The sequence below is a fragment of the Homo sapiens genome, chromosome 17 (genome assembly GCF_000001405.40).
Source record: "Homo sapiens chromosome 17, GRCh38.p14 Primary Assembly".
Taxonomy (NCBI): domain Eukaryota; kingdom Metazoa; phylum Chordata; class Mammalia; order Primates; family Hominidae; genus Homo; species Homo sapiens.
Window position 1 is genome coordinate 79,038,358 of NC_000017.11, and position 16,842 is coordinate 79,055,199.

Here is a 16,842-nt window from a genome sequence, read left to right on the forward strand (position 1 = left end):
TGGTTTCTCTTTTCTGGCCTCCCTCCTCCTGTAAAGGGGGATGTGTTCTTGTTGGGGAGAAGGTCAGGTGTAGGTGGATGATGTGGGGTTGAGGAAGGGACGCTGAAGAGCGGCTAGTCCTCAGGGACATGGAGGGAAGGAAAATGGTCGCCGAATTACCATGGAAATTGGCTCATATTTGCAGGATTTGGGAAAGGCAAGTAAAGAGCTTGAGTCATGCTGGAACTGTCTTCAGTTGCCTTGCCTGCGATGAGGCCTGGAGACTGGGCCACGTGGATCTGGATTCACACAGGTTTCACGTCACTGGCCAAGATGTGCTCAGGGCACTTCCCTGGAACTGCCTAACACATTCTTCCAGATAACCTTGCTGGGACACAGCCTCCCTACTGTAGGGGGATTTTTGCTGGAAATCACTAACAGTGATCTGGAGCCAAGTTTGGTTAGATGTTGGGCAATACTGTCTTTGCCCAAAAGTGACTAAAATGATCATCATGTTATGACGCTGGCTTTGCTGTGGGATTTGGTAAAATGCTTCTTAAGATCTTTTCAGGAAGGAAAGATTTCAACCTGGGTTTGCTCTGACTCCGAACAGCAGGCTTTTGAGGAGAGCCACCACCGCCAAAGTGGCCTTGTCCCTACCAGCCTGAGCCTGGGGCTCTCTGCTGGGGTTTCCCAGCCCCACCCCACCCCAGTGACAGCATCGTTCCTAACCCAGCTGCATCCTGGACCCCGTCTCTTCTGACCAAGGTGTGGAAAATCCCTTTGCTAGACTAGAAAGAGATAGACCAACATAAAAACAAATGCTGGTGCTTAGCTAGGGGCAATTTTGCCCCTGAGGAACAGGCATATTACCATGTTTGGAGACATTTTTTGTTGTCATAACTAGAGGTAGTGGTGCTAATGGCATCTGGTGGGGACAGTCCAGGGTTACTGCTAAGCATCCTACAGCACACAGGCTAGCCCCCCACCACAGGGGATTATCTAGGCCCAAACCTCAATGGTGCCAGGGTTGGCTGGCGCGGTGGCAAACGCCCGTAATCCCAGCACTTTGGGAGGCCGAGGCAGATGGATCACCTGAGGTCAGGAGTAGTTCAAGACCAGCCTGGCCAACATGGCGAAACCCTGTCTCTACTAAAAATACAAAAATTAGCCGGGTGTGGAGGCACACGCATATAATCTCAGTTACTAGGGAGACTGAGGCAGGAGAATAACTTGAACCTGGGAGGCGGAGGTTGCAGTGAGCCAAGATCGCGCCACTTCACTCCAGCCTGGGTGACAGAGCGAGACTCTGTCTCAAAATAAAATAAAACAAAAAAACCCAGCAATCCTTCAATGGTGCCAGGGTTGAGAAACCACAGAGTAGAATAATCCAAGGTAGCTTTTTAATGCGTTTTGTAGTTACTTTCCAACCTCTCTTAAATAAATATGTGTGTGTGTGTGTATATATATATATATGTAAATATGTATATATGTATATATATGTAAACATGTGTATGTGTATATATAAAATTTGGGATTCAGGAAAAAAATATTTAAAGAAAGGAAAATCTCTTTTCCTTTTAACTGGTACAAGTTTGCCACTTAAAAGGAAAAAACAGAATAATTATTAAGGCACCAAGGAGAAACAGAGGAAATACAGAAATGGAGAAATAAACAAATTTAGAGAATTCAGTCTGACAAATATTTGCTGAGCACCAGTGATTCAGGGTGCTGCAGGATGCTTGGCTAGGGGACGTCCCAGCCCTGGAGGAGGTCACCCACGGTCTGCTGAGTAGACTCTCATAGGCTAGACAAACTCTCTGCAGTAGGAGACAATAGGAAAAATAAAATTATGGCGCCCACCTATAATCCCAGTACTTTGGGAGGCCAAGGCAGGTGAATTGCTTGAGCTCAGGAGTTTGAGACGAGCCGGGGAAACACGGTGAAACCGTGTCTTTACGAAAAAACAACAAAAAAATTTAGCTGGGCGTGGTGGCGCATGCCTGTAGTCCCAGCTGCTTGAGAGGTTGAGGTGGGCAGATGGCCTGAGCCGGGAGGGTTGAGGCTACAGGGAGGCAGAGTGAGACCCTGTATCAAAAAAGAAAACTAAGACCGAGGATGGAGAATTTTTCCCAGTTGAGGGGCCTGGGAAGGCTTCAGGAAGACTATGAGACCTTGAGTTGGGTGTTGAAGACAAGGCGGGCAGGATTTTATTGTCATCTGTTGTCAGCCTGTCTGAGTCCAAATGCAGCCCCCCTGCTCAAAAATCAGTCTTGGCCCGGCGTGGAGGATCACGCCTGTAATCCCAGCACTTTGGGAGGCTGAGGTGGGCAGATCACTTGAGCCCGGGAGTTTGAGACCAGCCTGGGCAACATGGTGAAAATTTGTCTCTACAAAAAAAAAAAAAAAAAAAAAAAATTAGCTGGGTGTGGTAGTGCATACCTGCAGTCCCTTCTACTTGTGAGGCTGAGGTGGGAGGATGGCTCAAGTCCAGGAGGCAGAGGCTGCAGTGAGCCGAGATTGCACCACTGCACTCACTCACAGAGTGAGATCCTGTCAAAAAAAAAAATCAGAATTTTAGGCTAATTAGCTTCTCCAAGTCTCTGTTTTCTCATTTACATATCTGCTACAGTCATGAATGTATATTGTCTCCCTAGAGGATTGTGGGGCCATCCGTGATGGGATAAAAATTATTAATGAGGAAATGTTCTCAAACCTAACTAGACGGATAGCTGGAGAGAGAACTTAGATGTGTATTTTATAAATTACCATGTGCACATACACCCTTTTTTTGGCAAGTGGTGGGAGGTATCAGAGATTCTGGGTGGGGGCTGTGGCCTAAGCAGCTCCTTGGTCATTGGGACGGTCTCTGGGCCCTGACGCATGGGAGGGACAGCTGGCTGGTAGGACACTTGGAGGTGGGGGCTCCAGCTAAGCCACTGCAGAGATGGGGCGTGGGCCATGCAAGGTGGTGAAGACTGGGTGTAGGTATGTGTGACAGGGGAGGAGAGAGGTTCGGGGGGGCCAGCCTTGCTCTCCTCACTGTCACCTCGGAGGCTCTATCGGGAGAGCCCTGGACTCCAGATCTTCCCCTGCAATGTTGACTTGGCGTGAGGGCTCTGCGGGGAGCCCTTCAGACTTCACTCAAGAGCCCACTAAAGTCCTGGGCCGTGGCTCACGCCTGGAATCCCAGCACCTCGGGAGGCCGAGGTGGGTGGATCACTTGAGGTCAGAAGTTCCAGACCAGCCTGGCCAACGTGGTGAAACCCCGTCTCTACTAAAAATACAAAAATTAGCTGGGCGTGGTGGCGCATGCTTGTAATCCCAGCTGCTTGGGAGGCTGAGGCAGGAGAATCACTTGAACCTAGGAGGCGGAGTGAGCCGAGATCACACTGCTGCACTCCAGCCTGGGTGACAGAGCAAGACTCCATCTCAAAAAAAAAAAAAAAAAGCCCGCTACAGACATCCCCCGCAGAGGCTCCAAAGCCCCCGAGCGACGGTGTGTGTGGAAGAAATTCCCGGCTTCCCAAGATGAGTAAGACGTCGCGGTCATCTTGGTGTGTAATATGGGCAGAGAAAGAAATCTGTCAGGATTTTAACTTTCCTTAGACATAAGAGGAGTTAGAGGAGAAAGAGTCTGGCCCAGGGCCTTTGGAGATGAGCCCTTGCTTTCACTGTTTGCCTCTCAAGAAAGAGCTGGAGTCCACGCCGGCCTGGCAGCCAGGAGTGAGGGACGCTTCTCACCCACCTTCTCACTGGGCGGCTGTGTGTTGAATGAGGTGTTCCCACGGGGCCTGCGACATTTCGAGTTTTACATTTTGGTGAACAAAGAGGGGTTAGAGTTGACCACAGTCGCTGTGCCCCTCGGTGGGGAGGTTTTCGGCCCACCTGAAACGGCTGGGCCTGCGACTCCTGATGCCAGATTCCTGGGCGAGGGGAGCAAGCCGCTCACAGGGTGGCAGGTGGGCGTTCGCCTAATGTGGGCCCAAGTGCCGCCCCTCGCGGGCTCCCTGGACTCCCCACCTCCGTGAGCACCCCTTTCTAGAAGGACTGTCCCAATACTGGATGGAGGGGGTCCTGCCCCAAGCTTTTGCCAAAAGCTCTGGGAGTGAGACGTGGGGTTGGCTTCCTGGAAGGATGACTGCTCTGTGGGGCTGGGCTTGGCACATCCCTAAAGTAGATGCCAAGGACACCTGCTGATGCGCCGCCTGGTGGCCAGAAAGCAGCTTGCAGCCACCTTCCTACCCACCTACCCACCGGTGAAGGACCTGGTCATTGAGCCAGCTTTGCTTTGAGTTAAGGGATGATGATCATTCAAAGCTTGCTTGGGATTTTTCTTACTGTCCTAAGAGGGGTGGTATACAATTGTCTGTGGGGCCAGCGGCTGATGGACTCTCCTTCCCGAGAGGCTGGGTGGGCAGAGACAGCACCTTGCTCAGCAACCCCTCAACACCAGCCTGACTGGCTGAGGCTCTGGGGGCAGAGTGTGTGCGCACATGTGAAGGTGTGTGTACATGTGAGCGCATGTGTGCATGAGTGGATGTGCATGCATGTGAATGTGTTGAGAGTATGCGGGCGTGCACGTGAGTGTGCATGTGATGTGGGTATATGTGTGCATGTTAATGTGTGCACGTGTGTTGAAAGTGTGCATGTGTGGATTGCATGTATGCGAATGTGCATGTGTGTGGATTGCATGTATATGAATGTGTGTGCATGTGTGGGTTGCATGTGTGTGTGGGTTGCATGTGTGTATGTGTGTGCATGTGTGCATGGATTGCATGTATGTGAATGTGTGTGCATGTTGGATTGCATGTGAGTGCATGTGATGGTATATGTGTGTGAGTGCATGTAAAAGTGTGCATGTGTGTGGATTGCATGTGTGTGTGAATCTGTGTGCATGTGATATGGGTATATGTATGCATGTGTGTGCATGTGTGTTGAGAGTGTGCATGTGATTTGGGTATGTGTGCATGTGAGTTGTGCATGTGTGTTGAGTGCATGTGAGCATGTGGATTGCATGTGTGAGTGCATGTGTGTGGACTGTGTATGTGCATGTATGTGCATGTGAGTGTGAGTGTATGTGTGTTGACTGTGTGCATGTGAGCGTGTGGATTCCATGTGTGTTAAGAGTGTGCATATGGGTGCGTGGATTGCATGAGTGTGCATGTGATGTGGGTATATGTATGCATGTGTGTAGGTTTCATTGTTGAGACTGTGCATGTGTATTGTGTGTACATGTGTGTGGATTACATGTGTGTGGATTGCATGTGTGTTGGGTGCATGTGAATGTGTGGGTTGCATGTGAGTGTATGTGACTGTGTGTGCATGTGTGGATTGCATGTGTGTTGAGTGTGTGCATGTGTGGGGGTTGCATGTATGTGAATGTGTGTGCATGTGCGTGTGTGCACGTGAGTGCGTCGTGAGTGCGTGTATGCATGCATGGGTGTGTGAGAGTGATTGTCCTCCCAGAAGCTGTGTAACTGCAGCATTTCCCAGTGGCGTGAGGCTGGGGAAGCACCTCCGATTTCCAGGCTGTTTCTCTCCCCAATTTTCAGGCTGTTTCTCTGTGCAGCTCCTTCCTAACTCGGTGCCTTCCCTGTGTGTTTCTTTCCCACCAGGGCCCGGCAGGAAGATGGGCTCCCGTGGACAGGGACTCTTGCTGGCGTACTGCCTGCTCCTTGCCTTTGCCTCTGGCCTGGTCCTGAGTCGTGTGCCCCATGTCCAGGGGGAACAGCAGGAGTGGGAGGGGACTGAGGAGCTGCCGTCGCCTCCGGACCATGCCGAGAGGTGAGGGGCCACGAGGGTGTAATAGCAGGAGCTCTGGCTCTGGCCAGGCTGAGCCTGGGCCTTGGGGCCCCTGGGGGAGCTAGTTCACTGTGAGATGTGAAGGCAAGAAAGCTGAAGCTGAGCCGTGGCCCTGCTGGAGGCTGGTCCTGCAGGACAGACGAGCGATTCCTCCTTTCAGTGGCTTGGGCACCTCACCTGAAACTGCGGACAGTGATCCAGCCTCACCACGAGCCTAAAGGAGTGGGGTCTGCAAGTGGCTTTGCAGCTGCCTCCTTAAGAGCAGACCAAGCTCCCAACCTGCCCTCCAGTTTGTCTTTCCATTCTCACTTTGTCCGCTGAGAATATCTGCTGGGGACCTAGGCACCACTTGGAGGCAGGGAGAAGTGGAGCATGGCCTTAGGAGAGATGCTGGACCAAGAGCTGGTGTCCATGGCCCACGCGTCTTATCACACTGCAGGACAGGAGAGGACAGCGGAGACTGGGTGGGCCAAGTGTCGGCTTCCCTTGAAAGGTTGTGAAGGACTCTGGATGGCCTTCGTGTCTACGACCTGCAATGACAGAGAGACTCCAGCCGACCTGGGACATTTCCTAGGGAAGCCGAGTGCTTCATCCAACTGCCATGTACCCAGAGTGAGGTCCTGGAGACCCGGCGACAGCTCAAGCCTGGCTTGGAGTCTCTTCATTATTTTGAGCGTTGGGCTGACTTGATACTTGAGGCTTCAGACTAACTTCAGTGTACGATGGGATTGGACAGGATTTGAGGTTGAGTCACATCATTCCGTTCTTTCTTCCTCTCCCTCCTCTTTCTTTGATTGAGCCCCTCCTATCAGTCAGGCCATCCCCCAGGCACGGGGGGACACATGAGTGGCACAGTCCTGGCCTCCAGGAGCTCTGAGGCCGAGAGGGAGATAGACACATGAGAGACAGGGCAGCGTGGTGGGCTTTGTAGTAGGGGTGTACCCATGACGCTGGAGGCAGGGCCAGGAGAGGGAGGAGCGGGTCCCAGGAAGACTGAAAGGAGTGAACTAGGTCTTGAAGGACACCTGCGGGCCTCCCAGGTGCAGAAGGAGGGGAAAGCTACCTGGTAGCCAGAATGGGGTGTGCAAAGGCATGGCTGGTGGTGTTTGTTGGGCTGGTGGGTGGTTTGGGATGGTGAGACCCAGTGCTGGAGGCTGGAGGCTGGAGGACAGTAGGGCAGTTGAGCCTGGAGGCAGCTGGGTCTAGTTGGGGAGGGTCTCACCTGAACTCAATCCTACAAAGAACAAGAGGAATCATGGGAAAGCTTGAATTGGACGGTGTTCTCGGAAGAATGCCAGAGGGAGGCAGCAGAGAGGATGAGCTGGTGCGGGGAGGGGCAGATTCCAAGTGAGAGTCGAAATGGCAGGGGTGCATCAGAGATGATGAGGGCCCTGGGCTCAGTTCTGGAGGTGCCTTTTGGCTGGGAGCCCAGGACTCTGCTGAAAGTTGTGCCAGGGGGTTGGCGGAGGGAGTCGGGGGTGATGCCGAAGGCTCCACCCTGGGCACCCGCTGTTGATGCCAGGAACAGAGCTCAGAAAGAGAAGATTCCAGGGGCGAAGGGATGGGGACAGGGGTTTCGGTTTTGCATACATGACATCTGTGGGGCCTGTTGCATCTCCAGATGGAGACTTCTGGTGAGAAGTTTGAAGTCAAGGTCTGGGGCTTAGGAGAGAGGTAGGGGTGAGATGTCCATCTGGGAGTCCTGGGCTTATGGGTAGCTGAACTTAGGGCACAGAGATCCGTTTCCTGGATAGTCTGGGGTGCAGAAGTGGGAGCAGCATTAGATGAGGAGCTGGCCCATCCAGGGGGACTTTGCTGCCCCCGTGGGTCTGCGCAGCTCTACAGCCTGGGCAAGAAGAGCCACAAGCCAGAGCACATGTGATGCCATGAGGGGCCGCGAGGTGGCAGCCAGGAGCCGCCGCCGTCCATCCTGCCTGCGGGCTTGTCCTTCCAATCAGGTTGGAAACATAAGAGTCTCTCCAGCGGCTACAGCTGAGGGGAATCCTAAAGATCCAGTTGAACCTTCTTATTTGCAGACGAGTCAGCTTCATATGTTATTTTCTAGCATCACGGATATACGATAGGGAGTCCCGGCATTGTCTTGTGTCACCCAAAGACCCTCTCTTAGAAGTGTGGATTTCTCCCGAGCAGCCCCCATCTTGCGTGGCACTCAATTGATCGCTGCGTGTGTTTCCAGGACTGTCATTGCCTTTAACAGAGGGCAGGGGGCTCGTTCGGTAGTGAGGATCCCAGAGTGGGCCGTGAGCCCACCAGCGTGAACACAGAGCCTTGTGGGTCCAGGTGAGAGAGTGAGAAGGCAGGTCAGGCATGCCAGAACCACTGGCAGCAGGAGAGAGCAGCGTTTCCAGGCCTGAGAGTGGCTGACTTTCACTGTGATTCTTTATTCCCTCAGGGCTGAAGAACAACATGAAAAATACAGGCCCAGTCAGGACCAGGGGCTCCCTGCTTCCCGGTGCTTGCGCTGCTGTGACCCCGGTACCTCCATGTACCCGGCGACCGCCGTGCCCCAGATCAACATCACTATCTTGAAAGGTCAGATGGCTGCAAAGACAAGCACGGGGTGGCCGGGCTGCTCTGTGCTGATCCGGAGGAAGGGATGGAGTCGTTAGGGTGGGGCTAGGCGAGAGCAGAATGGCTCCCTCGGGACAGGGAGCAGAGGCAGGCAGGCTGTCATCTAGAGGGGAAGGCACAGGAAATTCTGATTTTGAGGCTCTGGCCCCTCTCCAAGAGGAGGGGTTGGAAAGGGGCCCACAGGACCAAGAGCAGGAGAGGGAGCCCAGAGGCTACTCGGGGTCTCGTCCCTCCAGTTGTATGTGGACGCCAGGCTTCTAGGCCCTTTGCTTTGGGGCTTGGTCCCCCAGCCTGCTTTCTGAAATGCCACCTGCTCGCTCCGGTCCTGCACACGGCAGATAACCCTGCACAGCCCCGTGAAATCGAACTGGAAACACTTGCAGCCTAGATCCCCAGCTGGCCCCGACATCTGGAGTTCATTTGCTCAGAGCGAGCCGTCGGTCTGGCCGCAGAGCCCATTGCTTTTGGACGAACCCGTATGTTCCATTTTCTTTTTTTTCTTTTCTTTTTTTTTTTTTTTACCAGGGCTTTCCAGAAGGAAAAAAAAATTATTGCTTCTGGGCGAAAATAGAACCATCCTTGAGGTTGAGTCTGTTTGCTTGGCCATTTTGGGAATCACAATACCTCTGTGCCAGGCTGGGACGCCGCCCGTGGCAGGGGGCTGGGGGCAGGAGTGAAGCTTCTGCCAGGTCAGGGCTGTGAGGACGAATCAGGACAGCGCCAGGGACCGGAGAGTGAGCAGCCAAGGCTCAGGACACTACCGGATTGCTCCATTAACAGCACGCGTTTTCCCATCCCTTTTAGGGGAGAAGGGTGACCGCGGAGATCGAGGCCTCCAAGGGAAATATGGCAAAACAGGCTCAGCAGGGGCCAGGGGCCACACTGGACCCAAAGGGCAGAAGGGCTCCATGGGGGCCCCTGGGGAGCGGTGCAAGAGCCACTACGCCGCCTTTTCGGTGGGCCGGAAGAAGCCCATGCACAGCAACCACTACTACCAGACGGTGATCTTCGACACGGAGTTCGTGAACCTCTACGACCACTTCAACATGTTCACCGGCAAGTTCTACTGCTACGTGCCCGGCCTCTACTTCTTCAGCCTCAACGTGCACACCTGGAACCAGAAGGAGACCTACCTGCACATCATGAAGAACGAGGAGGAGGTGGTGATCTTGTTCGCGCAGGTGGGCGACCGCAGCATCATGCAAAGCCAGAGCCTGATGCTGGAGCTGCGAGAGCAGGACCAGGTGTGGGTACGCCTCTACAAGGGCGAACGTGAGAACGCCATCTTCAGCGAGGAGCTGGACACCTACATCACCTTCAGTGGCTACCTGGTCAAGCACGCCACCGAGCCCTAGCTGGCCGGCCACCTCCTTTCCTCTCGCCACCTTCCACCCCTGCGCTGTGCTGACCCCACCGCCTCTTCCCCGATCCCTGGACTCCGACTCCCTGGCTTTGGCATTCAGTGAGACGCCCTGCACACACAGAAAGCCAAAGCGATCGGTGCTCCCAGATCCCGCAGCCTCTGGAGAGAGCTGACGGCAGATGAAATCACCAGGGCGGGGCACCCGCGAGAACCCTCTGGGACCTTCCGCGGCCCTCTCTGCACACATCCTCAAGTGACCCCGCACGGCGAGACGCGGGTGGCGGCAGGGCGTCCCAGGGTGCGGCACCGCGGCTCCAGTCCTTGGAAATAATTAGGCAAATTCTAAAGGTCTCAAAAGGAGCAAAGTAAACCGTGGAGGACAAAGAAAAGGGTTGTTATTTTTGTCTTTCCAGCCAGCCTGCTGGCTCCCAAGAGAGAGGCCTTTTCAGTTGAGACTCTGCTTAAGAGAAGATCCAAAGTTAAAGCTCTGGGGTCAGGGGAGGGGCCGGGGGCAGGAAACTACCTCTGGCTTAATTCTTTTAAGCCACGTAGGAACTTTCTTGAGGGATAGGTGGACCCTGACATCCCTGTGGCCTTGCCCAAGGGCTCTGCTGGTCTTTCTGAGTCACAGCTGCGAGGTGATGGGGGCTGGGGCCCCAGGCGTCAGCCTCCCAGAGGGACAGCTGAGCCCCCTGCCTTGGCTCCAGGTTGGTAGAAGCAGCCGAAGGGCTCCTGACAGTGGCCAGGGACCCCTGGGTCCCCCAGGCCTGCAGATGTTTCTATGAGGGGCAGAGCTCCTGGTACATCCATGTGTGGCTCTGCTCCACCCCTGTGCCACCCCAGAGCCCTGGGGGGTGGTCTCCATGCCTGCCACCCTGGCATCGGCTTTCTGTGCCGCCTCCCACACAAATCAGCCCCAGAAGGCCCCGGGGCCTTGGCTTCTGTTTTTTATAAAACACCTCAAGCAGCACTGCAGTCTCCCATCTCCTCGTGGGCTAAGCATCACCGCTTCCACGTGTGTTGTGTTGGTTGGCAGCAAGGCTGATCCAGACCCCTTCTGCCCCCACTGCCCTCATCCAGGCCTCTGACCAGTAGCCTGAGAGGGGCTTTTTCTAGGCTTCAGAGCAGGGGAGAGCTGGAAGGGGCTAGAAAGCTCCCGCTTGTCTGTTTCTCAGGCTCCTGTGAGCCTCAGTCCTGAGACCAGAGTCAAGAGGAAGTACACGTCCCAATCACCCGTGTCAGGATTCACTCTCAGGAGCTGGGTGGCAGGAGAGGCAATAGCCCCTGTGGCAATTGCAGGACCAGCTGGAGCAGGGTTGCGGTGTCTCCACGGTGCTCTCGCCCTGCCCATGGCCACCCCAGACTCTGATCTCCAGGAACCCCATAGCCCCTCTCCACCTCACCCCATGTTGATGCCCAGGGTCACTCTTGCTACCCGCTGGGCCCCCAAACCCCCGCTGCCTCTCTTCCTTCCCCCCATCCCCCACCTGGTTTTGACTAATCCTGCTTCCCTCTCTGGGCCTGGCTGCCGGGATCTGGGGTCCCTAAGTCCCTCTCTTTAAAGAACTTCTGCGGGTCAGACTCTGAAGCCGAGTTGCTGTGGGCGTGCCCGGAAGCAGAGCGCCACACTCGCTGCTTAAGCTCCCCCAGCTCTTTCCAGAAAACATTAAACTCAGAATTGTGTTTTCAGCATCCTGCCTCGTCAGTTTGCTCATTAAACTGAATCCTTTTCGTCTTCTCCTCTCCACCCAAGGCCCACTCCTGCCTGGGAGGCCCTCAGCTTCATACCTGGGGACATTGGTACCCAGCAGGTGCATGCTGGACCCTGAGTTGCCTCGCTCCTCCAGGGGGTGCAGCCTCCCATGGGTGGGGCAGCGACAGCGTGTCTCAGCTGCAGCTGAACGTGTGCCTGAGTCGGGCGCCTGGGGCCTGGGTGGGTCTGGGGACTTGTGAGAGGTGGGTGGGAGGCAGGGGCTTGATCTCCTGAGCAGGACCGCACTGTCCCCCGGGAGGGAGAGAAACTGTGGAGGTAGCAGCTTGGCCATGGCTCTGCAGCCTGGACACTATTCCTTTCCTAGGGCTGCCGTGGAAACTGGGGTTGGGGCGTGGGTGGCATAAGCCTCTAGCGGAGGGTCCTTCCTGCCCCTTCCAGCTATTGGTAGCCCCAGGCACTCCTTGGCTTGCGGCTGCATCTCCTCAGGTTCTGCTTCCGTCTTCATGTGGCCTTCCCCTCCGTGTGTCTCAAATCTTCCTCTCCCTTCCCTTACTATAACACCTGTTGCTGGATTTAGAGAATCAGGTAAATATTTAGGGCCCACTGTAAATCCAGGATGGTCTTCTCTCTAGATCCTAACTTAATTACGTCTGCAAAGACTATTTCCAAATAAGGTGACATTCACAGATAGCAGAGGTGAGGACTTGGACATATCTTTTTTTGGGGGATACAGTTCAACCTCTACCATGGCTTGCAGCTTGAATACACCCATCAGCAGCCCCCTCTGTTCTCCAGTGGTGCAGAGCAGATGTTCCTTCTTCTCTCCATCGCTTGCCAACTGGGTTAACAGCCAGGCACTGCATCCAGCTGCCAGCGGGGAGCACAGAAGCTACCTTGCTCTCTCTGGTGCCAGCAGGCTGCAAACAGCTGATCTCCTTCCTCTGCCCGCTCCTGGGGTGAGGCCATGTGTTCATGCTTGGCCTTGTGCTAGAGCCAGACTGGATCAAGGGGACCCTGCAATCCTGCTCTGTACGGGAGAAGGAGCAGGCTCCTACCTCCGCGGAGTTCAGGCCACTCAGCAGAGGATGTGCTTCCCAGGCAGTGGGGAGCAAGGGCTAAGTGCCCTTCCCAGAGGTGCCTGGAGGGAACCAGCCAGCTTCATACAGGTGCCCAATGACAACCCTCTCTGGAGACGGAGTCACGTGGACCATATAATACCTGTTTCTCTGCTGGCCAAATTCCCATGGGAAAAGAGGCAGGGTCTGCTCCAGTCCGCTCCATGCTCCTTTTAACATCCCTCTATCTTTGGGGTTTCCCCACCCCCAATATTTTCAGGCTGGCATTTATGCTCCACCCATTCTTCCTCCAAATATTTCCCTTGCTCCTGCTTTGTGGCAGATCGTGTGCTAGGCACTGGAGGCATAAGGACAGATAAGATATGGTCCTTGCCTTCCTGAGGACTTTCCCAGGGTTTCGACTGCCGTCTGACAGAGGTCAGCCTTCTCAGAAGAGCTGCACGCTTGGTACCAAGTGATCTGCTCCACCTGATGCCTCCCCAAGCAGTTGATCTTGACGGGATCCTCTCCCGGTTTCCTGTCCCAAGCTGGTGAGAAATTGGCTAGCCATCTCACTAAAGGGTCTAGAAAACTCAGTTGCAATACAAATATCAGTGTTTTAGCAAAAGGACTTAGTAATGGCTGATGACTCAGCCCAACGAAATAACTGCCTATGTTAGGACTTTCAGGAGCTTTTGTAGCCAGGGATGGGGATGAGGAGGTCATGGCCCACACTAGTCCTCAATGATAATTTTCTGTAAGGTCCACTATGGGAACGCAGTGGCGTGATGGCAAGCTGATTTTATTGGGCCATAATGACTAGCATAAGATGAGACATTGTTGCCCAGATTATTAAAAAAAAATAGAATGTAACAGAAAATAATAAATAATGCAAGATATCGATGTCCCAACATGCAAAAGAATGGAGTTGGGCCCCTACCTCACACCATATACGAAAATTAGGCCTTGGATCAAAGGCCTAAATATTAGAGCCAAAACTACAAAATTCTTAGAAGAAAGCCCAGGCATACATCTTCATGACCTTGGATTAGGTGATGATTTCTTAGGTATGATATCAAAGGTACAAGCAACAAAAGAAAAAAATAGATCAACTGCACATCATCAAACTTGTAAATTTCTGTGTTTCAAAGGACACCATCAAGTAAGTGAAAAGACAACTCACAGAATGGGAGAAAATATTTGCCATCATATATCTGATAAGGGACTTATATCTAGAATATATAAAGAACTCTTGCAACTCAATAATAAAAAGACAAATAATCTAATTAAAAATGGGCAAAGCAGCCCACACTTCTCCAGAGGAGATATACAAGTAACCAATACACACATGAACAGGTGTAATCATCAGAGAAATGCAAGTCAAAACCACAGTGAGACACAACTCTACAACCACCAATACACACATGAACAGGTGTATCATCAGGGAAACGCAAATCAAAACCACAGTGAGACAACTCTACAACCAATGGGAAGGCTGTTGTCAAGAAGACAGATGATAACATGTGTTGCTGAGGATATGGAGCTGCTGGAACTGCTGTCAGGAATACAAAATGGTGAGTCCCCTTTAGAAGACAGCCTGGCAGTTCCTCAAAATGTTAAGCATAGAGCTACAGCTGACCCAGCCATAACACTTCTAGGTATATACCCAAAAGACATGAAAATATATGTCTATGAAAAGCTTATAGATAGATGTTCATAGCAGCATTATTAGTAATAACAAAGAAGCAGGTACAACCCAAGTGCCCACTCAGCTGATGAACAGGTAAACAAATGCAGTGTGTCTATACAAAGCAGGCAGATCACAAGGTCAGGAGTTCGAGACCAGCCTGGCCAACATGGTGAAGCCCTGTTTCTACTAAAAAAATACAAAAATTAGCCAGGCGTAGTGGTGTGTGCCTGTAATCCCAGCTACTTGGGAGTCTGAGGCAGGAGAATTGCTTGAACCTGGGAGGCAGAGGTTGCAGTGAGCGGAGATCGTGCCACTGCATTCCAGAGCCTGGGTGACAGAGCAAGACTCACTCCATCTCAAAAAAAAAAAAAAAAAAAAAAAAAGGAATGAAGTGCTATTACCTACTACAACATTGGTAAACCTCAGAAACATTATCAAAAGGGAAAGAAGCCAGACAGAAAAGGCCATACGTTGCATGATTCCATTTATATGAAATGACCAGAATAAGCAAATCTAAACTAAAAATTACTGAATTCTACACTTTAAATGGATGATTCTATGGTATGTAAATAATATCTCAATAAACAGCAGTTATCAAAACAAGTAACACAAAACCAAAAAATTAGGCTGCCGCAGCCTTCTCTATTCAAGGCTGGAAAGTCCTGGAGCTCCAGAGTCATGACCTTCAGAGTTGGTCCCATTGTTCTGGGCTTGGCTTACGATGGCACAGGGGCCAAGGGCCAGTGAGATGGGATGGGAGTGTCAGGGTTAGTTTTTCCAAGGACATTGTTGAACAAGCATTTTTGAATCAACTGGTGGGTGAGATCACAGAGTCAGCAGGAGGCTGATGCAGGTGCCAGGGGAAGCATTCCACAAGGAATGACTAATTGAGGACCATGTCTTCCTCTCTAAAGTCCTTCCACAGCTGGGGCAGGGATGGGAAACTATGGTGACCTCAAGTGCTCCCATATCCTGCCCTTCCTAGGGCAGAATGGAGTAAGCCCATTTCTCATTATGCAGATGGCCAGGCAAGGACAAGGAATTTCTACTTCAGACACTTTTATAGATAGGATTAGAAGTCCATATGCTCTGGAAAATTTGGAAACCTCCTTGCCTAAAGACAGGAAATGTTCCAACCGCTCAATTGACATAGCCACTAAGTTAGTTCTCCAAGCAACTTGAGATCCTGCTTACTGAGATATTCCACAAGAATGTATTAAATGCCTACCACATGAGGGAAAAAACTCTTACCATTTAGAGTTATCACAATCAGAATATAAAATAACTATGCTTGCTACATTCAGGGAGGTAAAAAAAAAGGATTGATATTTGTGGCAGAAAACTTTAATGATGGTGATGATGGTGGTGATAATAAAGAAGCAAATGGAAGCTCTAGAAGTGAAAAACAAAACAAATGAATTTAAGAGCCTGGGCAACATGGCAAAATCCCATCTTTACAAAAAAATACAAAAGCTAGCCGGGCATCGTGGCACATGCCTGTAGTCCCAGCTACTTGGGTGGCTGAGGCAGGAGGACCACTTGAAACTGGGAGGTGGAAGCTGCAGTGAGCCATGCTTGCACCACTGCATTCCAGCCTGGGGTACAGAGTGGGACCCTGTCTCAGAAAAAAAAAAAAAGAAAAAGAAAAAAAAAAATAAACTAAGAATTTGGTGGATAAATATACCATCATACTGTACACAGCTGAAAAGAAAAATCAGTGAATTAGAAGAGAAATCAGAAGAAAATATTTAGAAAGAAGTATGGAAAGACAAAAGGATGAAAACACAGAACAAAAGTACAGAAGTGACAATAAGAAGGCCCAATACACGTGCAACTGGAGTCCCAGGAGGCAACATGAGAGAGAAAAGGCAACAGAAATATTGGAAGATAAAATAGCTGAGAAAAATCACCCAATTGATCAGTCTCTAAGGTACAGATTCAAGAAACTCAGTGAATCCCAAGCAAGACAAATAAAACCAAGGTCACAGCCAGCATGGCATATCATGGTACAACTACTAAAAACCAAAGACCAAGAGAAAGTCTTAAAAGCAGAGGGGAAAATATTTTCTTTCACAGGAGCAATAATAAGTATCACAACTGACCTCTGCTGTGGTTTGGATTTGTGTCCTCACCCAAGCATGTCAAATTGTAATTCCCAATGTTGGAGATGGGGCCTGGTGGGAGGTGATTGGGTCATGGGGGTGGTTCCCCCTTGAGTCCCCCTGTTCTTGTGATAGAGTTCACATGAGATCTGGTTGTGTCAAAATGTCTTCCCCGTCTCTCTCTTCCTCCTGCTCTGGCCATGCAAGACCAGCCTGCTTCCCCTTTGCCTTCTGCCATGATTGAAAGTTTCCTGAGGCCTCTCCAGAAGCCATCATGCTTCCTCTACAGCCTGAAGAACTGTGAGCCAATTAAACCTCTTTTCTTTGTAAATTGCCCAGTCTCAGGCAGTTCTTTATAGCAACAAGAGAATGAACAAATACAAGCAAAAGAGCAGAAGCCACAAGATAGCGGAATGGAATGTTTAAAGGGCTAGAAATAACTGTCCATCTCAGTTCTATTTCCAATTAAAATATTTTTAAAAAGATATTTTCAAACAAACAAAAATTGGGAGACTCTGTCACTGGAAAACCTGCACTGAGAG

At 51.6% G+C, this 16,842-nt stretch overlaps 1 protein-coding gene across 13 annotated transcripts in view, besides 2 other annotated features; it reads left to right on the plus strand.

Annotated features, from left to right (window-relative positions):
- C1QTNF1 (C1q and TNF related 1) overlaps positions 1–11,431 on the plus strand; it is a 26,855-nt gene extending 15,424 nt beyond the window's left edge. For 10 of the 13 annotated variants that reach the window (NR_049769.3, NM_153372.3, XM_047435297.1 and 7 more), the window contains 3 exons: positions 5,598–5,766; positions 8,198–8,337; positions 9,181–11,431. Coding sequence is in view for 12 of the 13 variants with exons in the window: in XM_047435296.1 (XP_047291252.1) it covers positions 5,598–5,766; positions 8,198–8,337; positions 9,181–9,731 (860 nt within the window). In the remaining variant the exon portion in view is untranslated. Of the gene's footprint in view, positions 1–5,317; positions 5,767–5,835; positions 6,529–8,197; positions 8,338–9,180 lie in introns of those variants that run through there. The other 3 variants (XM_006721663.1, XM_017024126.1, NM_198594.4) reach the window with 3 other exon arrangements.
- Positions 5,608–6,108: an enhancer, noted in NCBI's record as "H3K4me1 hESC enhancer chr17:77040047-77040547 (GRCh37/hg19 assembly coordinates)". NCBI's record gives its function as "activates a minimal SCP1, AML or CMV promoter by ChIP-STARR-seq in naive H9 embryonic stem cells {active_cell/tissue: H9 hESC(naive)}" and the evidence as "EXISTENCE:reporter gene assay evidence [ECO:0000049][PMID:30033119]".
- Positions 8,297–9,496: an enhancer, noted in NCBI's record as "CDK7 strongly-dependent group 2 enhancer chr17:77042736-77043935 (GRCh37/hg19 assembly coordinates)". NCBI's record gives its function as "activates an origin of replication core promoter dependent on BRD2, BRD4, P300/CBP, MED14 and CDK7 cofactors, with strong dependence on CDK7, by STARR-seq in HCT116 cells {active_cell/tissue: HCT116}" and the evidence as "EXISTENCE:reporter gene assay evidence [ECO:0000049][PMID:35650434]".
- Positions 11,432–16,842: the final 5,411 nt, after the last annotated feature.